This window comes from Homo sapiens, chromosome 5, assembly GCF_000001405.40.
Source record: "Homo sapiens chromosome 5, GRCh38.p14 Primary Assembly".
In the NCBI taxonomy this organism is placed as follows: Eukaryota; Metazoa; Chordata; class Mammalia; order Primates; family Hominidae; genus Homo; species Homo sapiens.
Window position 1 is genome coordinate 35,755,788 of NC_000005.10, and position 26,547 is coordinate 35,782,334.

Below are 26,547 nucleotides of genomic sequence, written 5' to 3' on the forward strand. Positions count from 1 at the left end.
TTAGTAGAGACACGGTTTCACCATGTTGGCCAGGCTGCTCTCGAGCTCCTGACCTCAGGTGATCCATCCGCCTCGGCCTCCCAAAGTGCTGGGATTACAGGAGTGAGCCACCACACCCAGCCTACTGTAAGTTCTGTTATCTTCATTTCACAAATGAGGAAATTGAGACAAACACAGGTGAAACAATTTGCCCATCTGACCTCAAAGCCAGTACAGTAGCTCCCCCTTCTCCTCAGGTTTATTTTCCATAGTTTGTTACCCACAGTCCGAAAATATTACATGGAAATTTCCATAAATAAATAATTCATAAGTTTTAAATTGTGCTCTATTTTGAGTAGTGTGATGAAATCTCACACTGTTTCATTCTGTCTCGCTCAGAATGTGAATCATCCCTCTGTCCAGTGTATCCACCCTGTAGATGCTACCTGCCCATCTGTTAGTCACTTAGTAGCCAATTTCGTTATCAGACGAAAAATCATAGTGTATATAAGGTTTGGAACTATCTGAGGTTTCACGCATCCATTGGGGGTCTTGAAACTCATCCCCCATGGATAAGGGAGTGTCTACTGTATTCCTAACCACTGATTTATTGTTCAAATAGTTGAAAGTTTGCCACATAGAACTGAAGGGAGCCTTATTTTGCACTGATCAACAGGATCCTATAAAAACCAGGGGTGAAAATTACAAAAGAGGAGGTTTCGGTTCAATATTTAAAGAAAGAGCCTAATGAACAGCCCATCAAGTAACAGACTTTGGAGGCAATGAGCTTTTTGTCCAGGATGCTCAAAAGCAAAAGTTCGCACATGGTTTTGGAGGACCGGTGGAAAGCACACTAGAAAAAGCCATCAAGAATCTGTGGTGTTGGGTAACAACAGACAGCTAGATAAATGTTTCCCAAAGCGGGTTCCGTAGACATTAGTCCTACAAGATGTTTCACAAAACAAGGACTCTGTGATCAAATGACTTTGGGAAGTGCTATCTACTCTAGCCTTCTTCCCTCTCCCTGGGAGATTGACAAGTGTATCGACATATTTAGACATCGAGATGCCCTGCAGGAAGGAAATCCTTTTTCTATTTCTATTTCTATTTCTATTTCCACACTATTTGACCTTGAGAAGTTTTTGTTTCTTCCCCAACAAGGTACTCATTAACTGCCTATAGGACAAGTTTTCTACAAAATGTATTTTAGAAAATGCTATGCTAGATGATTTTCTAAAATTCTTTTTAAATCTAAGATTCTGTCTCAATTAAAAATCTTGTTTACTATTAAAAATATTGTTTTTAATAACTATTAAAAATATTGTTTACTAGTTATCATAACAATTAAAAATATCGTTTACTAGTTATAATATCATAAAAATATTGTTTACTAGTTATCATAAATGTAACATGAATTTTGATTGATTCTGCCTTTATGAAAATCTTGGATATAGTATGGCATCTTATTCAGATTTAGTTAATTAAATTATGCCTTCTAAAAATAAATTAGTATTTTATATAAGATAATCACTATAATGAGGTAAGCCTAAGGCACAGATAACAGCACTGTCCCAAAAACCAATTGTATAAAAGAAGCTCTACTAAACCTAATCATTATTAAGTAGTTTAGTTCTCTAAGTTAAGGAGGAAATAATTTCCTGATTTCTAAATTTATTTACCAAATAATACAATGCTATGGTTTAATGACTAATAATTTTTATAACCTCAACACACTTATTTTAATTCTCCAAAGTTGTCAATATTCAGTTTGTACAAATTGGGTTTCTATTTGATCCTATTCACCATAAATGTGTCATTCTGCAAGTTCTTATAAGTATAATTTACAAGACTCATTTTTCTCCTCTGTTTTACCAAACCTAAGCATGACAGGTGCAAACACTTATTGTCAAACTGTAGGATTTGTTCATACATGAATATTTTAAAACTTAATTTGGTTGTTTTGCAAGGAAAGAGAAAAAGGTTTAGTTTTTCTTGTCATTTCAAAATGCTAGTTTAAAAACTACTTAAATATATATTTGTGTTTAAAATCCAAGGAGACTATTAAAAATGTTCTATAATGTGAGACAATACATAAATGGTACTTTTATTTTTTAACTTAGATTCAAGTTCACCAAATTAATTTTTTCCTGTTTCAGTCATTTAGTTAGAAAAGTCGAATAGCACAGAAAACAGCTTTTTCCAGGAGCAATTTGGCTTAACCTTTTCTATATCAAATACAGACTTATTGAAACTGTTCTTGTCTTTTGTTGTAGACTGCAACAAAAAACCAGACATTTATTTGTTCTGAACTGTGAATATGGCAGTAAGAGAATATTTCTTGATATTTTACAAAATAAGTGGTGACATAATTGTTTGATAAATGTAGGGATCCCTTCATAAATATCTTTGAGTTTGGTGTAGATAAGGCTTTGAACATTAGGTCAATTTTGTTTTTCTTTTTACAAAGATGCTTTCTGTAATTAACTAGATACCATGGAATTCATCTGTATCAGGAGCTTCAATATTTAGGCCCTCAGGTATTGATTTAAGTAGCCCAGGTGACTAAAGCAAAGTCTGGAGGTCATGTTTACACTAACATAGAGAAGCACAGATATACACCATATTGTCCTAAACCGAATGGGAGACCAGGTCGAAAAATATCATATTCTACATTTGTGTTGTTGGCACTGTGTGAAATCTCACTATGCACACACTTCAGCGTATGCATACCACAAAAGGAAATGACCTGTGCTGACAGGGAGTCACAACAAGGGAATGACCGATGCTCATCTTGCCACCAGCTCTTCTGGGTTGCTACATTTTTCACAAGGTACTTACTGGCAAAGCAAGCAGAAGGGTTTAGCCGTGAGCACTAGAGGAGCTGAATTCTCTCTCTTCTCCACATATTGAACAAGAAAGGAAATTGTGGAAAGAGAACTATTCTTTAAACTCTGTGTTGCTGGGCGCAGTGGCTCATGCCTGTAATCCCAGCACTTTGGGAGGCCGAGGTGGACAGATCTCCTGAGGTCAGGAGTTCGAAACCAGCCTGGCCAACATGGCAAAACCCTATCTCTACTAAATATATAAATATTAGGAGGGCATGGGGTCAGGGCCCTGTAAACCCGGCTACTCAGGAGGCTGAGGCAGGAAAATCGCTTGAACCTAGGAGGTGGAGGTTGCAATGAGCTGAGATCACACCACTGCATTCCAGCCTGGGTGATAGAGCAAGACTCTGTCTCAAAAAAAAAAAAAAAAAAAAAAGTAAAGGAAAGAAAGAAAAAAAAAACTTTATGTTGCCCTTTGTTGTTTCTCCACAGCTAAAGTTGTTCTAGAGAACCAGAACCCAGTGTTTTTTTTTGTATTTGTATTTTGTATTTGTATGTATAGTGTTTTTTGTTATCTCTCAAATCAACTCATATGCTACCTATGACAAAGAAGTTTGCTACTATATTGGCTGATTGAATCTAGGACACAGGAATTGCTAATGTTAAAATAGTAAATAGCATGCACTACTTGAAACATCATACATCCTGTAACTGTCACAATGTCAAGAGGCACAGAAAAGTCATTTTGTTAAATAGAATCATGTTCCGTAAATATAGAGAATGCAAAGTCACTAGTTATCTTTAATTTTAATGAAAATCTTAGATATAGACTTGTAACTAATGTTCCTTCTTATTTCCAGAAAATTATTTTCAATCTAAATGTTTTCAAAATAGTGCTTTCAGAGGCTTATATCGGAAATATGTACAGATCAGCTTGTTCTTTCTTGGATATTAACATTCACATTTGCTATTAAAGGCAGAGCTGAACCGTTTCCAAGATACAAAGAGACTCCTTCAAGATTATTACTGGGGAATGGAAAGTAAAATCCCAGTAGAGGACAACAAGAGATTTACTCGAATCCCTTTGGTCCAACTGGATAGTAAAGACAATTCTGAAAGCCAGCTTAGGTAAGGCAGGCTATTATATCACACTGTAATTGTTTTGAACATAAAGCTTTGTGATTTAAAATTAATTACCACTAATAAAAATCACACTCCTTTATCTGCAAATCTAAGATCCAAAAAAGCTCTAATAACCAAACATGTTTTTTTTTTAACGTTAGTGTGTCATTGACTTAAGACTACTAATATACATTATCCAATTTATAGGGAATATTTACTCATTTTGCTGCAGAGATAAAATGTGTTTTATGACGGAGTCATCCCACAGACTCTGCAGGTGGTATTAGGGAATATATGGTATACACAAATTCTGAATTCTGAAACACTTTTGGCCCCAACGGTTTCTGGTAAGAAATTATGAACCTCCGCCAGGCGCGGTGGCTCACACCTGTAATCCCAGCACTTTGGGAGGCCGAGGCAGGCAGATCACGAGGTCAGGAGATCGAGATCATCCTGGCTAACACGGTGAAACCCCGTCTCTACTAAAAATACAAAAAAAATTAGCCGGGCGTAGTGGCGGGCGCCTGTAGTCCCAGCTACTCAGGAGGCTGAGGCAGGAGAATGGCATGAACCTGGGAGGCGGAGCTTGCAGCGAGCCAAGATCTCACCACCGCACTCCAGCCTGGGCGACAGAGGGAGACTCCGTCTAAAAAAAAAAAAAAAATTATGAACCTCTAACACTTTTATGAAAGGACCAAAGCAGGTGTGTGTGTGTACCTATTGTATTATATAAATGAAAATGAAAATGGAAGGTGTTTTGAGTCTTTTACTGATAAAGACATTGAGAAACAGTAAAGTCTCAGTAGTATGTGATAATGACCTTATGAGAGTGACTGAAAGACCTATTAATAGTCTAACATCAGATTTCTGCCAGCAAAAAAATAAACTTGGTGGTAGGATAGAAGAAAAATTTTATTTTCAGCCAAGCAAATCCTGTGCAATATAAAAGTCTGTAAGTCATTGTTTTTGTAGATCCAATGGGTAGGGGCAAAGGAAAGGCAAGATCCCAAACGCTGAGAAATTCTGAACAGATAGAAAAATGTCTTCTAGAAATGGGAGTTAGGAGTGGTGGTGATTCCTGTGGCATGGTTTCCAACTATAAAACATTAAGAGAGCTAAAAGTAAGAATTAAAATAAAGCAATTAAAAAATAGAAATCAAAATCCTTAAAAATTAAATGAATTTTAATTTGAACTAAATAAAGTATAGTGAAGAATTAAAACAATCCTTTTTAATAATCAGTAGGCAGGCGATAAGAAACAAAAAACATTATATCAGATATGAGGAGGGGAAAAAGAAAGTCAAGTTTAAAAAAATAATATAAAGGCACTGAAGATTAAATTTAAATCTCCAAGGGGATAAGCTATATATTTTATGTTGAAGGCAGTGTACCATATTTTTAGAAGTTTGCTCAGTCAATGCAGGTGTCAGGAGCTGCACAAACTAAACGCAGGATAATGAATATATTTTGAAGTAAGACAGATCTGGTTTGAATCCTAGTTCTGTTACTCAATCATTGTATGTAAATAAATTAAGACAATTTATTTGTTGTCAAGTCACTCCATCTCTCTTAAGCCTCAGTTTCCTTATCTGTAAAGGAGGGTTGTTGTGAAGATTATGGAAAATAAAATCTACAAAGCATTTAGTACCATATTGTGGTATCAGAAGATGAGATTGAGTCCCAATAATGCTCAATAAATGTAGATTATTACCTATTGTATGTTCCTGCTTTGTTTCTTTTACCCTCCCTTGTTCCAAAAAGAATTTGAGATGGCCTGAACACATTATTTTATGCAGCGATCCAAAGCCCATTTTTGTTCTCTCCTGGCTTTTTCCATCTACTCCCATCACATCCCTGTCAGGCCCGTGTGTACACAAGAATATCTAAGAGTAAAAATGTGTCCCCTCTTTTTGACACAAATAGAAGGAAAATGTTCAGCAAGCTGCTGAAAGAGATCTTTGAGATTAAAAACAATTAAAAAAAAATCCAAAGGCGGTATAAACCACTAGAACCATCAAAAGAGGCCAAATTTCAATGTCGAGAGTGGCAGTACATTCTGTTCTCAGCACACAATAGCAAGTTAGGCATAATGGGTAAGCTGTTGATGTTGGTTAGTAGAATGAAACTGGCAAAAGAACATCCAGTTCTTATTTCCTGCGAATAACTCTGCACCAGTCTCAGCCTCAAATCACAGCTTTGGGTACCTACTGGAACTATCAGTCAATCAATATATCAACCAACTAACCTATCAACCTGTCATATATAAAGGGAAACAAGAACAATGTTAAAAATTTTCATATATTTTGTCCGCTTTATTCTTCCCAACAACCCTATAGCAATAATAATATTAGTAGTAGTATCATAAGATTATTCACAATGATAGTAATAACTCTTAGTTAATAATGAATACTTATCATAATAATTATTATATTTGTATTATTCCAAGAGGAACTGAACCTCATAAAGTCAAATGACATGCTCAAGTTTATACCTACTAATAGTGAGAGAGCTACCTACATCAGAGTTCTTTCCAGTAAATAAATTCTAAATGCAAATTCGTTTTCTAAGTTATATGCCACCACTGCTGTCCTCCAAAGCAAGACGTTGAAAAATACATGTTGTACTGTATTAAACATTTAGAAGTGATCGCACAAGCCTTACCCGAACTTATTGAACACATGAATCACAGTCAAACTGGAGTGACAGTGATTTAGCCTTATTTGATTTTTAAAATGTAATTTAATTTGTGGGTAGATGAGTAGCAGATCCTCAATACGCTGCCTTTTTAGGCACGGTAGACTGTGCCTATGATACTGTACCAGTGATTCATTTTTCTGAATCACTGCTCTCTTCTCCAGCAACTTGAGTCTACAAAACCAAATGCTTGTTCCTAGATTACTGATTCTGACTCTCCTCCTCTAGTTTCAACAGAGGCATCCTTGGAGCTGTTCTCTTCTCTTTCCTTCCCCAAGCTGATAGCCCTTTGCACTTTCTATTACTAAAGGGGGATTCCAGTCACAATAAGCATTCTACCTTGTAGATCTTTCCCTGCTTCTGTTAACCTTTGAGATCCTGGGATCCTTCTGGGATAAGATATTCCCAGAGGCAGCTCAAAAATTTCTACACAGGAGCAGCAATAAGGGAAGAGGGAGGGAGAGCTTAACTTTGTGTCCCCACAGCACTTTACAAAACAAAGAGAAAACCTTTGTGGGGGTGGTGCTGTAGGCTACCCCCACCCACCATCAAAACTTAGCTGCCTCTGTGCAGTACCCCCTTTCAGACCTCACATTAGTATTAGTCATGTGTTACTGTCAGAGGAGATCAGGTGTGTTCAATGTGGTATGGCCATGGACAGTCATGTCCTACCTTCAGTTGTGCCCTCCGGGATGCCAGATGATACTTGTCACCTTAGAGAAGTGATGCCCAGTTTCGTTTGGTTTGCTTTTTCACGACTGACTTTTTTATTATCCTTCATGGGAAGTGTATGCTCTGGAACAAATTCCAAAGTCGCTTTTCTTTATAATGGCCACTGTCTAATCCTCTGCTTTATAATTACTGAGAATTAAGTCTGAAAATTATGGGTTTTTGTTGTTTGCTTTGAGTCTCTTCTTATTAACAAGATGTTCTAGACCACAAAAATTTGAATGCAGTGTTTTATAATCTTTTCTCCATTAAAATAATTCTTTCAGGAAAACTTTGAAAATTGAGATTAAACCAAGACAGTAAAATTTACAAAGTAACATGGTCACAAAAACAGAATTTTGTTAAGCAAAATTTTTTATCCTTTTTGCTTGTTTGTTTCTCAAAGAATTCCTCTAGTTCCTCGAATATCCATTTCTCTGGAAACAGTTACACCCAAACCAAAAACAAAATCAGTACTGAAGGGCAAGATGGATAACTCCCTAGAAAACGTTGAGTCCAACTTTGAGGCCGATGAAAAGTTGGTCATGGACACCTGGCAGCAGGCTTCTTTAGCAGTATCTCACATGGTAAGCAGTGCTCGTTATATTTTCTGTTAGTAATACACATTCATTAAGTACCAAGGTTGGTAATATGCTATAAGTGGAAAATTGACACAATGCTCTCAAGCACTGTAGAAAATTGTACCTTCGAAACATTTTTTTTCTGAAAGAAATAGAGAAATGTGATTCAGTCAACAAATATTTGAGATCATGAAACGAACCAACATTTAGGTTATTTTCTGTGCTGGGCTCTGGTTCCACATGCAGGGCCTAAAGGCAGTCAGGAAATGTTAATGAGGTGGGTCAAGTGTAAGACAATCAGGAGGGATGGGTCTGGGGCCAAGCAGAAGTCACATCCCTGCTTGCAGGGGCACATGCAATTGCCATTTAAAAATGAGGTCTGGCATGGCCAGATTTTCCAATTTTCCAAGAAAAGCCAGACATTCAGATTTTTATGTAAAACTACTAATTTTAACATGTAAGAAATGAAATAAAAATTTTTAAAAAATATTCTGCAGAGTCAAGCAAATCACAGTCTGGCCTATAAGGGCTCTATTTGGCAACCCCTCTGCTAGGCATTTTTCCTAAGTTACCTATGGGGTAAGTATTATTATTATCCAATTTACGATGGAGAATTAAGGTTCAGAAAGGCTAAGAAACTTGCCCAAGTTCTCCTAGCAGGTAAATATCCAAATGAAATTTGAACCTAGGTCTATATGACTTCAAAGCTTATATCATTTCTACCCAAATCAAAGGGAAAGGGGAGGCATACACATAACTTTAATCCAAGCAGAAGTGCCACACCATGGGGAAGATACACACAGAATTTAACTCAGGTGATCAATTGCTATTCCCTCATCTGCCAGGTCCTGGGTCTACCAAGATGTCTTCTCTTTTCACAACATGCCAAGCCTTCTTCGAGTTTCCATGAAATATCGCATTCAAACAGAAAGCAGCATCAACTTTCCAAAAGATTTTGTGAAAGTGGTAGAAGAGGACCTTGCAGCACAGATCTCACAGCAAACAAAATTTCCAACTGGGCACTTTCCAAGTCCCTTCTTGGCCTCTCTGCCTTCAGGCTTCTTTTTCTCTGACCTTCTCATACAAGCAGCCTGTGTTTCCTTTCTTCCTCCCTCTCTTTCTTTTGTTCTCCCCGCTTATTTCTTTTCTCCCTCTCACAAGCAATGATAACTCCTCTCATTGTTTCTGCTTCTTTCGAAAAACATTTTAGTATGGATTTTCACATACATAAGGAAAATGCATGAATTATAATTGCATGACTTAATGAACCCACCTAAAGTAAATACTCATGGCACCACTACCTGGAGAGAAATAGAATAAGGGCTGCACCTACCTAGTCATTCTTTGCTCCTTCCCATTTCTAACCCACTTCGAATTCTCTAAAGGGGACCAACATACTGCCTTTTTAGGAATCATTTCCTTGATGTTCTTAAGAGTTTTATTACCCAAGTCTATAGCTCTAAACACTGATGTGTAGTTTTCCTTGCTTTTGAGCTTTAGATAAATGGACTCATATCTTTTGTCTTTTTTGTGTCTTATTTTGCTCAACTTTCTTTGTGAGATTCATCTTATGTTGTTCATTTTTTGTTGCTGTATTGTGTTGCATTATATGAATGTATCACAATTTATTTAACCAGCCTGCTTTTGATAATACCTTTGGGTTTCCAATTTGGTGTCGGTATGGATACTGCTGCTATGAATGCTTGTACATGTCTCCTGGTACCCATGTGCATAGATAACTGTTGGGTATACATCTAGCAATGTGTGCTATCTTCAAAGCTAGTAGACAATACTATACTTAATACCTCAGCTTTCTTAGGTAGTGCTAAACCCTTTCACCGTTTCACCGCACTATCATCTTTGTCATACATTAGATGACCACTTATGTGTAAGTCTGTTGCATTGCTCCATTTGTCTGTGCTTATACCAACACCACACCAATATACCATTTATTTGTTACCTGAATGAGCAAATCTTCCCATCTTGTCATCTGCCAAGAACATTTTGGATTTTCATAACTTTTTGCCTTTCCATATTAATTTTCAAATCAGCTTGTCAAGATTCACAAAAATGTTGGCTGCTGATTTTTAAGGAAGTATTTATCAGATTATGAGCATTCCTTTTCATATCCTGTTTACTCTAGAGGTTTTTTCATGAATTGTATTCTCAAATGCTTTTTCTGCCTGTATTATATAATTTTTTCTGCATTTTCTGTTAATATGAAAAATCACATTGACCAATTTTCTAATGTTAAACTTACATCACATTCCTGGAGTAAGTCCAACATTTTAATGAGACGTCATCTTTCTTAAATATTACTGGGTTTGTTTTGTTAATACTTTGTTTAGAATTTTAGTCTTTGAATGAGATAATGAAAGTGAGTGAGTTCTGTAATTTTCCTTTCTCATGCTATCTTTGATGGCTTGGAGCATCCAGATAATACTAGCTTAATAAATCAAGTCTGGATATATTTCCTCTCTATACTTTGGAAAATTTTGTGGAAGTTGGGATTATTTCTTCTTGAAATGTTTGGTAGCATTCACTAAGAGGCCATCTAGAACTAAAGTTTTATAGGAAGTTTGTAGCAGGAGTTTCTGTTGCCCTCCTCCCACCCAAGAATTCATTATCTTTAATAGATTATGCAATGTTTCTGGGTTTGTTTCTTCTTAGAAAAAACTTGAGTTGTTTTTGGTAGATATTATTTTGCTAAGAATTTTTCCATTTCTAAATGTTTAAATTTATGGGTATGAAGTTATTTAAAATGGCCTACATTTGTGTTAATACTTGCAGTGTCTATGTGACGTCCACTTTGTCACTTCTGATGTTTATTATTTGTGCTTTTCCTCTTTTTTTTAAATCAGCTTAGCCAGATGTTTATCAGTTATACCAGGCTTTCCAATGACTGACTTTTAACTTCATTCATTTATTTTACTATGTGTCTTTTTTTCTTTTCTTAATATCATATTTTCCTCGTGCTATTTTCTTTGGGTTTACTTTGCCATTCTTTCCCTAGGGATTTGAGATAGATCATAGTTTATTAGTATCCAATCTTTTTTTTCTAACATACACATTTGCTACTCTAAAGTTTCCTCTGTGGCTTACTTTAGCTTCATCTCAAAGTTTCTAATATGTTACTTTTATCATCGAATTCAAAGCATTTTAGAAATATATTTTTAATTTTCAAAATAATATGTTGTTTTCTGGCTTGATTACATTTTATTCATGGAACATATTCTCATAAAAGTTTTTGAAGTTGCCTTATGGTCAATTTTTGAAGTGTTACATGTGTACTTGAAATATATTCATTTAAGTGTTTAGTGTACATATTGCACTTCATTGTTTATATACAAATATTTTGATATATTATTTTACTATGTATTTTAAATATTTATTAAATATCATTGTTTAAATCTTATGTTTCTCATTTGTTTTCTCCTTTGAATTATGAAGAGAGTTATAATAAGATCATCTGTACTTTGGTCAATTTGCTTTATATATATTTGAGACAATGAAATTGGGAAAATATAGATTTTAAATTGTGAAATCTTTCTGGTGGAATGAACCTTTTCTTATTATGAAATAATCTTCTGTATATATAGTGCTTTTGTTTTGTAAATTATACTTTTAGAAATTGTTTATATGTCATATCTTTTCATCCTTTCATTTTCATCTTCTCTGTGTCTTTTCTGCTTTTTTTCCCCTCTGTAAGTTTGGTCATCATGTATTCTGTTACTAGTCTCTTAGCAATTGCCCTAGGAATTACACCGTGAATTAGTGGCTCCTCAAAGTCTATTATTTGGTCAATAATTCATGGTGTTATTTCTAGGGTAGCTACTAAGTGATTTAGTGTGTGCTATTTCCAAGCTAACATGGGGGGAAGATGAAATTTAAAATATCCAATCCAAAAGAAGCAAAGAAAAGAGGGCAGAAAAAATATTCAGGACAAGCAATACAAATAGAAAGTACAGAGAAGATAGTAGATTTATAGCCCAAATATATCTACAACTACATTAAATTTAAATGGGCAAAATGAACTAGATAAAGGAAAATAAGTATTAGATTTTTTATAAATGGGATATGATGTGTATAAGGATACTAAAATGATTTTTCATTATTGACCTAAGAGAAGAAGGGGTTAGTGTGATGATCTCCACTTGCCATCATAGAATCTCACACCCTTGACCTTCTTTAGGTCTTCAGTGTTAGTTTCTATCTTGATTCCTGACCAGTTAACTGTCTCTTTCCTGAAGTCCTAGCCATCTGTAATTGTGTGCTCTTTCTAGTCTCATAGCAGTTATTGTCTTTCCTACTCATTTGGCTCTTAGTATCTAGGTGGTTGTTGTTATTGTTGTTGTTGTTTTGTAATCTGTATTTTGTTAGTTGTTAGTCTGAATACTTAACTAGATTCTAAAACTTTTTGTATACCTTGGACCTAGCATAATGCCCACATCAAACATAATATAATAATAAGCCCTCAATATAGTCTTGAGGTGCTGCTGCTATGCTGATGATGCTGATGTCAATATTAGTGATGACGTTAGTGACAATGATGATCATAGCAGAGACCACAACAAGTACCAAGCACCAGAAAGTGGGAAACCAGACGTAGAAGCTCTAGAAAAAAATGAGTTATTCTTATTGTTAAATGAGCAACATAGACATAATCTACAAGTCTTATGAATCCCATTAAAATTACCTGAGAAAATGACACTGAAAAATAGTATGTTCTTAGAAAGGGAGGATCATATAGCTATGCCTCTTGATTAAGCTGATATGATTTTAGGAAAATCACTTAACCTCTCTAATTCTTTAGGCTATATCTATAATATTGGAGATAGTCTATCTTTACTTTATTGAATGGCTGAAAAAATCCAATGAAATAATGTATGTAAAGTGTTTTAGAAACTATATATTTTAACTTATCTCTACGTTAAGAAATGCATTAAACATTGTACCCTTTTCCTTGTGGACTTTAAAAAATCTTATAGAAAGCATAGGAAAATGGACTGCTTAGTAATAATATTACTAACAATCATATTTGAATACTGCTTGACTTTGATATCACACAATCTTAAGGCAACTTTGAATTTCTAATGAAACAGGTGTGATTCACTAAATTGTTGTGGGGCAAATAGCACCAGCTGAGATTAGTGCAACTAAAAATGAGAGCACTTTAACACAGGCTTTTTTCTACACAGCAGTTTTACCAGGAGCTATCCATTTAGTAGACCATGTTAATTTTTGGCAAAACTTTCTTCTAATTAGTGGGTATGCAGTGATTTCAAAGAAACAAGTCATATTTTTAACACCCACAATGTCAAGGCATTATGTCTAAAGTTCTCTCCAGCTTTATAAGCTAGATTGCTGAATGAATTGGGAATTACATTAATTTTTGATAGCAACCCAGAGGTCTTTGAGGGAAGTGGACCAGAAAAATTCAGACAATTATGATGCATAATTATGCAGGTAATTATGATAATTATCATCATCACAAAGTTGTTTACAAGGGAGAAAAATCCAATTTTGAAGAAAATTGCTAACTTACAGTGCTTTGCAGGAACCGATTAAAAATTGAATTGCTTGCAATTTAGGGGAAGAATTTTAGCAAGTCGGCTTTCAGCTTTACTAAGAACTTGCAAGTACAGTATCTGGTATTCATTTTTATCAAAAGGGCATCTGATAAAAAAAAGAAAGAAAAGAAAAAGCAAAGGGAGAAAGAAAGAAAAAGACAAAAAAAACCACAAAGAAATCTGCTTGCTCTCTGAAACCTTTCTGTATTCCTCCAAGATTCTATTGATATTGAAGAAGTTGAGGGTGCATTCTGTGGAATATGATTCTTTTGAAAGAAAGTCCATTGACTATTAAGCACCTACTGGGCATCCCCTTTGAGCACAGCACAGACACTCAAAGCTGTGAAGAATACAAAGAAGTAGGACTGGTTTAGCTCTGGGAAGCACGAGGCCCCTTTGGACAATGGGGCAAGATTTATCACTCATAGAACACTTGGGAAGAGTTACATGCTGCCATGGGGTATGCAGTGTGGCAGAATTTTGGAGAAGGCGGGAACTGGCTGGTCTATCTCACCCACAAAACTGTAATAGTCTTTGAGGGTAGAGATTATGCCTTATTCATTTTTCTATTCACCTTCATTAATCTTTGTCTTCTCATCCCCTCACCCCATTCTCCCCAGAAATTATAAATAATTAAATAAGCCCTCAATAACCCCCATTTTTCACCAATTGCTTTATTGAGATTTTAGAGTTTTAAACCCTGTGTTGCTACTGCCTCCATAATGTGTGTGTGTGTGTGTGTGTGTGTGTGTGTGTGCATGTGCGTGTGTGTGTGTGTGTGTGTGTTGTTTCTACCTTTGGGATTCTTTCCTGGGTTCTCATTTCTTGGGGTGACACTCATAAACAACCTTCGCCTCCCCAGGGGCAGTTGAACTTATTGCAAAATGTCCAGTATTTCTAACTGCAAGTACAACCCCAGTGACACAAGCCTGAAGACAAACGTGTACATATATATAATCTTAATTTACAAATAATAATTGCATATATTTATAAAGTACACTGTGAAGTTTTGATGTCTGTATACATTGTGGGATGACTGAATCAAGCTAATTACCATATCTGTTACCTCACTTATTATTTTTGTGGTTAGAACATTGAAAATTTACTCTTTTAGCAATTTTGAAATATACAATACATTATTATTAACTATAGTCACGGTGCTGGGCAAGATGTCATCAGAGCTTATTCCTCTTATCTAACTGAAACTTAGTACCCTTTGACCAACATCTCCCCTTTCCCTGTCCCACATACTCACCCACCCCAGCCCCTGGTAACCACTCTTGTACACTCTACTTCTATGCTTTGACTTTTTAAGATTCTACAAATAAGTGAGATCATGCAGTATTTGCCTTTCTGTGCCTGGCTTATTTTGCTTAGCATAATGTCCTCCAGGTTCGTCTGTGTTGTCATGGGACAAGGTTTTTCTGCTGCCTGAAGTGCAGAGCCAGCCACAGAGGAGAGGTGGAGGGATACCTGCAGTTCCTGACCCCGTGGGTGGGAAAGGACAGAGCTTCTCCATTCAGCACTTAGAATGAGGTGACAGAACAACTAATCTCAAGCCAGGACACTTGTGAGAATGAAAGGAGGCACTTGGTGGAATGGAGAGAAGCTGAAAGTCAGCCCAGCAGGGAAGCTAAGAACCTTGGGGTTAGCTTGTGGAATGGGTCAACCTCACAAATACTCAGTCTTTTGGGGGTGATATTTAGTGCTCAAGTAGAATAGGAGCCCAGGATTCAACTGTCCATGACCCAATTAACACAGGGCATGCTGTCCCAAAAATTGGCTGTTGCCGAGGGTGATGAATATATGTATGAAGAAACCACAAATATACACCCAGAACATAAACAAATATGCTTCTGCAGTATTAAAATTTTATGAATGCAAATAAAAAAATAAAAAAAAAACTCTGTAGGGGATCAGTTATCAAAAAAGGTTAAGAAACATTGATACAGAGAAATACCCTGGATTGGAAGTCAAGAGATTAAAGGAACTGAGAAGTATAAATGTGTGTCTGAGATTTAAAAGAAAGGAATTTTTGCATAACCATGGAGTTGTGACACTCTGGAGGTGGCAGTGAGGAAACGTAAGGATGATTTGCAGGTGGGGCTTGAGAAAGCGAGCAGCCTCCACATAGATGGTGGAAGGGAAGCCGCATCTTGGGACAGGGCCAGGTTTCCACTTAAGTAAAACATGGTGGGGTGTGTTTTGTAAAGTTCGAGTACGTGGGCACAATTGTTTACAGTGGATTAAGGTTTCAACAGAATTTAGTAATGACTACATCCAAATGGTTGCCATATTTTGTAAATGAGACATTAACTGAAATATTGCTGTTACGCAACCAGGTGGCTGCTGAAATTCATCAGAGGCTTATGGAAGAAGAAAAAGAAAACCAGCCAGCAGACCCCAAAGAAAAATCTCCTCAGATGGGTGCAAATAAAAAAGTCAAAAAGGAGCCACCCAAGAAAAAACAGGAAGACAAAAAACCCAAAGGTATTTATGGTTTTAGCACTCAGAACCCTGGATGCCTAAACCTCTCCTTCGTAGAAAACGAGCATTTAACTGGACACATTATTAGCCTCTAAGCCACTAAAATACTACTCATTAGGTTTAAACTAGAGACCCGGGCTTCTATGATTTGTGGTGTTAGTGGCAAATCATATTGCATACCAAGCCCACCTAACTTGTTTAACCAAATAGCCAGATGTACTCAGGGTAAAATAAACCTCAAAGACAGTTTTGAAATGTTAAAAGAACTTCCAGGATGGTACTATGTCATCTGAAAAGTCTGTGCAGAAAGGCTAACACTGCAGTAACAAAGAGAAGTTTAAAAGCTATGTTTTTAGAAGCTATGTGTATGTTTCAGGGGCAAGTCCTTTTCTCTTGGAGGCCTCCTGCCTAAATCCCTGGCTCAGTAGCATGAGGGAAAACAAAGAGTTCAGAAAATACGTCTTGAAAGAGATCCCTAATTAACCTTAGGAATGAATAGCTTTGGCATCAACATTACCCTCCCCCTCTGAAGTGGAATCCTGGGAAGCAAATGAGCAGAACTCACTCCACTCATAGATTGTCTGTGATATGTTTATTATACACCTGCTATGTGAAATGCTCTAGATGGATGCCAAGAACACAATAGTAAATTAAAAACAAAACCAAAAATCACAACCACAATTCCTGCCCTAATCCAGCTATAGTCTTGCAGTAGAGAGAGACATGTGACCATTGTGCTTTGATAGGGGAGGTACAAGTACCTTAAGAACAAGGTCTCCCTTCTCCATCTGAGGGCGTAGAAGATGCTTCTTAGATAGAGAACATTCAAGCAGCCAGGAATGGGAGTTAAAGGAAAGCACTGAGGATGGAGGAAGGAGTGGGTCAGTGGCACTTGAAGGAAAGGGAAGAGTATTACCTCAATAAAGAACGCACCACTTTAGTCCATCTCAAGTGGCAGGAATAAGGGAAGTGCTTCTGTTGACTTTAATGGAATCACTGTTGGGGTCTGATCCCTTAATTTTACAGATGATAAAACAGAAATCCAGAGAGATTAATCTCTCCTTCATCTGTAACTTACATATACATCTATTATTGCAACATATTACGATTTCTTTGTTTACAGTATCTTCTCTATAAGATTTGAACCCTTCGAAGTCAGACCCTCAAGAAAGATTAGTTGAACTGAAAATAGAGCTATGTAAATGGGCCCTGCAACTAGAATCATATTGCCATAGCCCATGGGTAAATCCTTTGATAAGTACTGACAAATTTATATTTTGTAATTCTCTTATATAATCACTGATGTACTTATAGTTAAGTTCTAATTAAAATATAATTAAATTAGCCAGGAGCAGTGCCTCACACCTGTAACCCTGCACTTTGGGAGGCCAAGACAGGTGGACTGCTTGAGCCCAGGAGTTCGAGACCAGCCTAAGCAACATGACAAAACTCTGTCTTTACAAAAAAATACAATAAAATAGCTGGGTGTGGTGGCACACATCTGTAGTCCCAGCTACTAGGGAGGCTGAGGTGGAAAGATTGCCTGAGCTTGGGAGGTCGAGGCTGCATTGAACCATGAGCATGCAACTGCACTCCAGCCTGGGTGACAGAGCAAGACTGTCTCAAAAAATAATAATCATATTTAAAGAGATTACAGATTCTTGACAATCACCCGCATTTCACCCACATCTTCTTGAGGTTATTCTCGTATCTTCTTTTTTGGTGAAGATCTAGGAAACACTTTGCTAATAGAAGTTATCCCTTATGGAGTGGTAATTCTGCAGGTGTCTAATGGGGTCAGCACTATGTGGGGATTTGCTAATTTCTGTCCCTAAACTCTGGATTTCACTATGTTTGGAAACTGTAACCATTTTTGCACTTGCTACATACCTTATTTTTTAATTATACTACACAAATGGGGCGTTTTTATATGAGTCCAGCCCAGGAACCATACAGAGAATTCTCAAGGAAAAATTCAATATTTCATCACAGATGCTGGGAGGACCAAGGTTTCATTGTTTCCGAATCACTAGAGGTTTATAGCTTAACAAACTTTGCTTTGTGCTCATTCTGTCCAAGTACTATGTGCACACCTTTGTATTTTGTTAGTTTACTCAGCATGTTTCATTGCCCTTTCAGGTAAATCACCACCTATGGCAGAAGCAACTCCTGTCATAGTAACAACAGAGGAAATTGCTGAAATCAAAAGGAAAAATGAACTGAGGGTCAAAATAAAAGAAGAACACCTTGCTGCCTTGCAATTTGAAGGTAGCGATTGAAACGACTAAGATGATGCTTTTCAGTAGAAAGGAGACCAGTAGCCAAACAGCCCACAACTGGCTCATCAATTGCCTCAGACCATGTCTATGAGAACATACAGCAAAGAGGTTGAAAAGCACAATATTCAGTTGACTGTTTTCGTTTGACCACGTGAGGACTAGATTTGAGTGTTGCATGAGTCAGATGTTTTGGCATCACCTAATCAGTCTTAACTGATGACACGATCTCAAAAAGAACCAAAAAGAATTTGGTAATGGGTTAGAAAAAGCAATAGCAGTAATTAAAATCTCATAAAACAGAAACAAAAGAAAATGTTGAAAGTTCGTATGATTTTACAGGTTTAGATAGGGACTACCTAAAGTAAGTGGTTTTATATTACAGTAAGAATAATTTAGGTACCTAATTAGGAAAATAAATTTTAACTAAAGGCTAACAGGCCCTGAAAATGAGTCCTTGGGAACAAAGGCCATAGGAGAGCCAGTCATATATCTATTATGTTCAGAGGTGTTCTTCTCTATAGGAGCTATGACTCCACAAAACATATTCTCCTTATGGCTCTCTGAATTGTCTTGTAATGCAATTCTAAATGAAATCTGAAAAGATCAGGAAACTGAGCAAACATATCCTAAGGGAAAAAAACACGGTCAATATACAAGATGACAAAACCACAAAAATGTGGCATGGGGTATGCCGAGACACCTTTAACTACTCAGTGACTATTAACTACTAAGTATGATTTCCATCCCTTGTTTCTCTCATTTTCTCTCCCCTGTCCTTCCCATCTTACTACCACCCACTTCTAAAACCCCAACAATAAAATCTGAAGTCAGTTGAACACAGGGAGACTGTGGCATCAGGCAAGTCCAGGACAGATGCATCTCCCATATTGCCTGCCCTGCATCTGATTTCAGTGGTTTTCAGTATACTTCATCTTTCAGTTCATTCCATACATGATCCTTAGTGTAGCAAAATTCATTTATGCATATAACAAATGATTATTGACTTTCCACTCTGTGCCAAGTCCTGTGATAGTTGCTGGAGACACACATTTATATGTACAAACATAAACAAAAAATAAAACTCAGTCTCAAGGAAGAGAAATGCAATCACTGTTGCATGTTGACCTGTTGACAGCTGGGCCTGTAGTCACAGCTACTGAAGAGATTGAGGTGAAGGATCGATTGTGTTTGAATCCAGCCTGGGCAACATAGTGAGATCCTGTCTCAAAAAAAAATGTGATATTGGTGGTGGGCATATTGGGCAAAGGGGACATGAGGGGAGTTCCTGACTTACCAACGGAACTAATTCTTGAGCGGAATTGGAAGACTATGGATAAGTTTTTCCAGGGGAAAAATTGGCGTGAGAATGAAGAGGAGTATTACGTGCCATGGCAGAGAGAGGGGTAAGAGGCATATCAGCTTGTGAGTAGCTTAGGACCATGAGGCATGTTCTGGGAAGGAGCGACTTGGGAGATGGGGAGGCCACACCATGGAGGGTTATCTAGGCACTGCCAAGAATGTTCAATTCTTCCCTGGTGGCAACTGGGAGCTAGGGAAAATTATGAGCAGTAAAGTGATTATGATCACATCTGCAGGTAAGACAAATTACTCTGGATAGTGTGGAGGTGGATTTGGATTTGAGGTGGGGGAAGAGAGTTAGAAAAAGTAGGATTGAGGCTATTGCAACAGTTTAAGTGAGAGATAATCAGCACCCAAACTATGCGATGATGATGAAAAAAGCCAAAAAGAGAAACTGGAAAAATTTTGGAGATAAAATCCACCAACCAGATTATGTGCCAGGATCGGTAATAGGCCCAGGGGCACATGGAGTTTGCCCTGATTTTAGTGGTGCTGAGAAATACAATGGCAATGCCACCCCAGGTTCTAAAGTAAGGAGATAAGCACGGTCCCCACTCCCTTTTCAAAATTCAGAAATTACCTATGCGTGTTTTCACATTTCATTTATCAAAGAGTAGATTGCTACAAAGTGCAATAGATAAAAAGCTCAATTATAGTTTTGGTTCAGATAATTTCTCAAATGACTCTACCACATATTACATTTTGCTTTTCAGTGAGATGGATATCATCTTATCTATTCTGGTATATTAAACGTGCACCTAAAGCTTCACAAATTGAAGCACCAGTGGTTTCAAAGTGAATCTGTTCATTAGTAAATGCATGCACTGCAATATGTTAAAACATTCTTATTTCTCTTTGCAAATAGAAATAGCCACGCAATTTCGACTTGAACTGATAAAGACAAAAGCATTGGCTCTTCTTGAAGATTTAGTAACAAAGGTGGTTGATGTATATAAACTCATGGAAAAATGGCTTGGTGAGAGGTATTTGAATGAAATGGCCAGGTAAAGTACTACATGACTTTCTGAAAATATGCTTTGTGTATTCTAAGTACCAAAATTGATGAAGATTTTTAAGGTATTTACAAATTTAAGTTAGTTACAAATATAAATTTTGGCCTTTTAGGAAATCACGTGTATAAACAGATAATATGAGCTTTACTATCATGTTTGTATTAACTCTTTTCTAACAGTAAATCATGCATCAAAGGGTTCTATTGCTATATTAAACTTTGCACAATATTTATGAGTTTAGCTGTCATACTAATCAATGAGAACCTTATTTTACAAGGTAAGATTATAGGTAATTTAAAAATAGTTTTTAGAAGTAAAATAATCCTTGATACTTTTCCAATGGTAGATTTATTATCAGTCAGAGCCAATTAAGGGGAGATTAAAAAGTCATTCACTGGAATGTTTTACCAGCTAGACTGATTCTCTTGTAAGACCAACCCCAAGTTCTACTTTTCTGTTGAGTTCCAAAGACTTCCCAGACCTTTGTTGCTACTGAGGGGCAATGACTCTCATCCTGTTAGTTCAACCTTAAAAGGTACAAAGAGGCAGGTCAGCAGAGTGAGTCATGATTGTCCAGACCAGGAGCCCCATCTTGTCCACAAATTAGTAGCATGCTTGATTGCTCTGGGCCTCATTGGCTTCATCTATACAAGGAAACACTCCAGCCAGGCTATTTCAGAAGTTTACCCTAGATCTAGATTCCAAGATGCACTACAGTTTACAATAAACATTTACTGAAAACTTAGAAGTTGCTACACAAACAGTATTCAAAAGGCAATTATTCTTAGAAGCAACAATTTTCATGTAAAAAGCAGCTGTTATGGTTCGTTTTCTCTGGTCCTTGTCTCATAGTGAAGTTCTTTTGTAAAGTCTTCAGCCTAGTTGTTTAGAACTATTGCTCCATAGTAAAACAAACAAAGAAACATTAAACAGAATAAAAAATACAAACACAAGCATAAGTAAGCTTACTGCAGTAATGCTTAAAATCATTTTGCTACTGGATAACCAAGTCAGTTACTCATCAGCATCACACAGTAATAATATTCATTTCTGTTCTCTGCCTGCTATTTTGAAATGAAAGTCTATCTTCTTCATTTTTGGGACTCATGGCTCCCATCCATGTGGCCATCCAGTGTAAATGCATATTTTAGCAGATGTATTCATATTTCTCAGATTTATATTGTATATGTCTGCCCTGTGAATCTACAGATGCTGTCATGAACTGTGGCCACAAGAAGTTAAAACCTAGAAATGTGATACAAATAAATAAATAAATAAATAAATAAATAAATAAATAAATAAATAAATAGCTGGCAGATCCCTTTGACCTTCAAATCCTGTTCTTATTTTCCTGGCACTTTTTTCCTTCCGTTGTTAAGATTACTCTTAGTAACCTTCCACTAGGTGGCGCGCATCTGTTTTAGTATCCTGATGCCCAGTAAAGGTATTATTCTACTAGTCATGTTTTACAGAGTATCGTGCCGGGCTATGGTTGGGTCTCAATCCACATTTGGAGTCCCTCCTCACTCACGTAAACTCAGCAGCTATCCAGTGACCTCCTCTGTCCCCGAGCACGCAACCACCCTAAAAGCATAAACTAATTGGCTAACACGTATTACATGGACACTTACAAAGACAACATTCTGGAGTTGAATTCTAGAGTATCTTTTGAAAGACAGCAACTAATGCTACTTTTTAAATTTTCAGTTATATGTTCAGTATGTGGTATATTTGGTGCCTATGAATTATATAAAATGAGATCAAATATGCATTTTTCTGTGTTGCTCACTTTCATTGTAATATATAAACAAGATCCTTTCTTCAATACAGCGATAATGCACTTATTCATGTATAAAACTTCTCTAGCCTTTAAAATAATTTTTAAAAGGTCATTAACTATACCCCCAGTACAGTTTAAATCTTTGCCGTATATGAGTTCACATTAATAACCATAAGATAGGGAGTGTTGCGTTGTTGATTCCATTGCAAAGACAAGGAAATTCAGAGAGCCCAGGATCTCTGGCTAGAGAGTGTCCTAGGATGAGAACTCAGATTCCAGCACTCTTTCTACCGCATCATAGTGGTTCCCAGCTGTTGCTGCTTTACCATGTTATCTAGCTAGGAATTGTTATTCTTCATGAAGATAGCAAAGCAATTTCAATGGATTATATACAACAGAGGCTATTCTGACATCTTTGTTTTAGATAACATCAAACTTCTTTGACAGAAATAGAGAAAAGCCACTCTTCTAGAAATACATTATTGAACTTGATTCACTTTATAATTCATCCTAATTCCAAATAAATGTAATTCTAATAGTCATGTTTTACAGAGTATTATGCCATATAACCTTATTCTGGTTCATACTTAGTATGAAATATAACCCTTGATATAGTCTTGCTTACATAGTAAAATATATTCTAATACTAATAAAAACTATATTTAATAGGTTCTCTTTAAGTTCAGTTTTGTGTAAAATGTGTAACTAGTAGCTGTTTAATAAGCATGCATTTTCTATTTAATCTGCATTTATTTATACCCTGCCTTTTTACAAAATAGATTTGGGGACAAATTGAAATTTATAAGCATGCAGATGGAGTTGTCTAAGAGCTATATAATCTGTTTACTTTTGTGTATATGTCTTATAAGCAAACTTTATTAATCTAATAGTATCTTTCATGGGGTTAACGCTATCCATTTTACCACTTTCAGTACAGAAAAATTAACTGACGTAGCTCGCTATCACATTGAAACATCTACAAAAATTCAGAATGAACTTTATTTAAGCCAAGAAGACTTCTTCATTAATGGCAATATAAAAGTCTTCCCAGATCCTCCCCCATCAATACGTCCTCCACCTGTAGAAAAGGAAGAAGATGGTACCCTGACCATTGAACAGCTTGACAGTCTTCGAGATCAGTTCTTAGATATGGCACCTAAAGGTAGGAAAAATAATTATCATGAAAAGAGCACAAAAAAAGGTTAAGATTAACCAGGACAGAAATCACTTGCCAACAAGTAAAATCAGCTCTATGGGATCATGTGGCACTAAAACATGCCCTTGCTTTGTTCTAGTTTATTAAATATTTGTTTCATACAACATAGACCCTAATTAAACAAGCAGGACCCACTGTGAATAATGCTTGAGCAGTGTGGTGGTCCTCATTCCTGGTAATTCCTCTCTCCTGTCCTCCCCGACCCTTGCTGACAAGTTTGTATATTTGAGTATTACTCCACCTGGCAGCTTACAGAAAGACTTTGTGCATACTTCTAGTTTAGATTTTATATTGAGATTATGAGTTTGTGTTTCTGTGAGGGGAGACCAGGCAGTAGAAGATTTCCCTTTTATGTTGGCCTTTTCCCTCAGTGCTTGTAGACCATAAGCAGAATCAAATAAGCTGTTAGAAAATGTTTGCTTAATTAATTAGTCGGTTTGTTCATATGTATGTGTAAATGTTTTCTGCACACAACAATTTTATCTCTTTCACATTTTATCAGCATGGACCTACAGCATCTGCACAGGCTTTTTTTATTCAGCCTTTTCCTACTTCCAGATATTCTTCAATGAGTTCTGTCGATTGATAGCACAAGTAATTCAGACAGATCACATAGGATTATCATCTCCACTTTAAAGGTCTAGATACTGACTCACAGAGGAGTTTAGCAGATTTTTTGCCTATGGTCATATATCATTCAGAACTCTGCAGATCCAAAGTTCTTGCCCCTTCTCACTGAACTAAGTTGCCTCTCATAAGCAGATTTCTTTTACTTTTCAACATATACTACTTATTGGGAAATTATTACTTTTCCCTGTAGCATAGTCAACTGACTTTAGTATTAATACAATGTTACTTTTTAAAAAAGTCCAGTATTTCCAGAAATTCACATCATATATCATTAGTAAAAAGAGCATTACTCTAAGTCCGAAAGCTTCCTTGCCAAGCCCAATAGGTGAAATTGGTGTATGTGTGTGTGCCTGGGTGAACCTTGCGCTTTGATGTGTCAGCTCATCAAATCAGCTAGAGCAGGCTTTACAGCTCCAAGGTATAAAAGCCCACACTTCAGCTGTGGAGGGACGGAGGTGCCATTTGGCAGCATTTGGGCACGAAGGAAACATGGCCATCAGCAGGTACAAAAAATCTCGACTTTACAAATCAGTCCATGAAATTCCTTCAGTCCTTTAGTCAGACAGAGTGCACCCTCTTCTACATGGTGCGAGCTCCACAATGCCCTGTTATTATGTACTTCCCTCTTCAGAGTTGCTTTTTCTCTTCATTTTATCCAGGCCATTATTTTACACATAAAATAAAAAGATAAGTGTAAGTGGATTCTAAACATGACATGTGGTTTGCTTTAATCCTACACTCTGGTGACTGGGAGGAAATCACTCAATTAATAGGTAAAAACTAAAGGCATCTGGGGACACTTGAATAGGTAGAAGTGGATTTTGAAAATTATCATCCACTTACAATATATCTTTCAGCAGGGACCCTAGTATCCATGATGCTAATCATAATACTTTCTTGGATCCAACCTCAAATCCAGAGCTCATATTTCCACTAAAAATTTAAAAATAAATTTTAAAAAATAGCAGCTATAACTTGACATGTGTCTCAGAAGATTAACTCTAGAAACCCTTGGGACACAAAGATGTCAACAGATAAATGTTTTCAGACTATGGGAGAAATAAGAAGGGAGGGAGAGGAAGTAAAGGAAGGGAGGGAGGGAGAAACGGAGTTGTTTTTTTTTTAATTTTTATTTTTTTAAAAGCAGAGTAAAAGGAAACCATTTGCCCTAGGAGCTGAGAGTTTAATTTGAAAAGGCAAGCAAAGAGGAAGGAAATATGAACAACTATTTGAGTTCTTTCTGGGACACAGTATGAATGTTATTCAAGTGCTCAAGAATGCAAAGCATCAGTGTGCCCTGAAATTGGTCAGGGAAAAGTCTGTGGAGCAAAACTTTGGAGGGAGAAATTGAAGAGGGTAAAGAGATTTTGTGGCAAGGCTACAGAGAATGTTTACAGTTAGGGGAACAGCTGCTGGAAACTCTGTAGACAAGAAGCGTGAGGATAGGAGCATGATGTTTGGGAAATGTTTAGGAGACTGCTCTGCTTTTCTTTCTCCAACTGCATGAACTCCAGGCGAGTAGAAGAGGAGGCTTTCTCTGTGTGAGGAACCACCTCCTCCCACCCAAGCTGGAGAATTAACCCATATGCAAGAATAACAGTTGTAATTACCACAGAATTTACAAGGCTATACAATACGGTAGGATTTGGGGATTGTGATGATTCAAAGTGAGTTATGTATGGTCTATGGGCAAACAGTTTAAACTCTTTTCTCTATTAGCTCAATTATACCATTTGAAAAAATATATATTGCATATATTGCTTTTTAGGTATATCTAAAATAATTAATAAGTGTTGGGAATTTGATTGACAGGAGTAACGTTCATTGTTATTATTCTTGCTATTCTTATAGAGGGCAGGGAAAAGTATTACTCCATTTTTCTGCATCCCAGAGTCACAGAATTGGAGGTTCTCTACTGATACTCTTGAAATCAGGCTCCAAACATTGACAATGGCCCTGCCTGAGGAAACCCATTAACTGCCACTCACCCCTTTTCCCCATCTCTTCTGGCCCCACAAAGTATACTCTGGCTTTTTTGTTTTTCTACCCCGGTTTGGCAATTGTTCACTTAAGAAACATGACACACACCCATCCGTCTTTTAAATGAAGGCTTTTGTTGTATTTCTTCCAAGAAATGGAAAACAATCCTTTATGATACCTTCCACTGTATTTACCCTAGAACTCTATAATTTCAAAACACAATCTTAGTGAGTGATAGCAGGTTTGAAAGTGTGGAGGAGCTGGCTGAACATGTGTGTTTCAAATGTGTGATCCTGCAGAACTTCCTGCTCAAACTTGCTATTA

At 36.7% G+C, this 26,547-nt stretch overlaps 1 protein-coding gene across 18 annotated transcripts in view; it reads left to right on the forward strand.

The window, feature by feature from the left end:
• SPEF2 (sperm flagellar 2) overlaps nt 1-26,547 on the forward strand; it is a 196,749-nt gene that overhangs the window by 137,925 nt on the left and 32,277 nt on the right. For 17 of the 18 annotated variants that reach the window (XR_925655.3, XM_011514136.4, NM_024867.4 and 14 more), the window contains 6 exons: nt 3,781-3,932; nt 7,735-7,915; nt 15,822-15,969; nt 18,106-18,234; nt 20,470-20,608; nt 23,330-23,559. Coding sequence is in view for 17 of the 18 variants with exons in the window: in XM_011514136.4 (XP_011512438.1) it covers nt 3,781-3,932; nt 7,735-7,915; nt 15,822-15,969; nt 18,106-18,234; nt 20,470-20,608; nt 23,330-23,559 (979 nt within the window). In the remaining variant the exon portion in view is untranslated. Of the gene's footprint in view, nt 1-3,780; nt 3,933-7,734; nt 7,916-15,821; nt 15,970-18,105; nt 18,235-20,469; nt 20,609-23,329; nt 23,560-26,547 lie in introns of those variants that run through there. The other variant, XM_017009882.3, reaches the window with a different exon arrangement.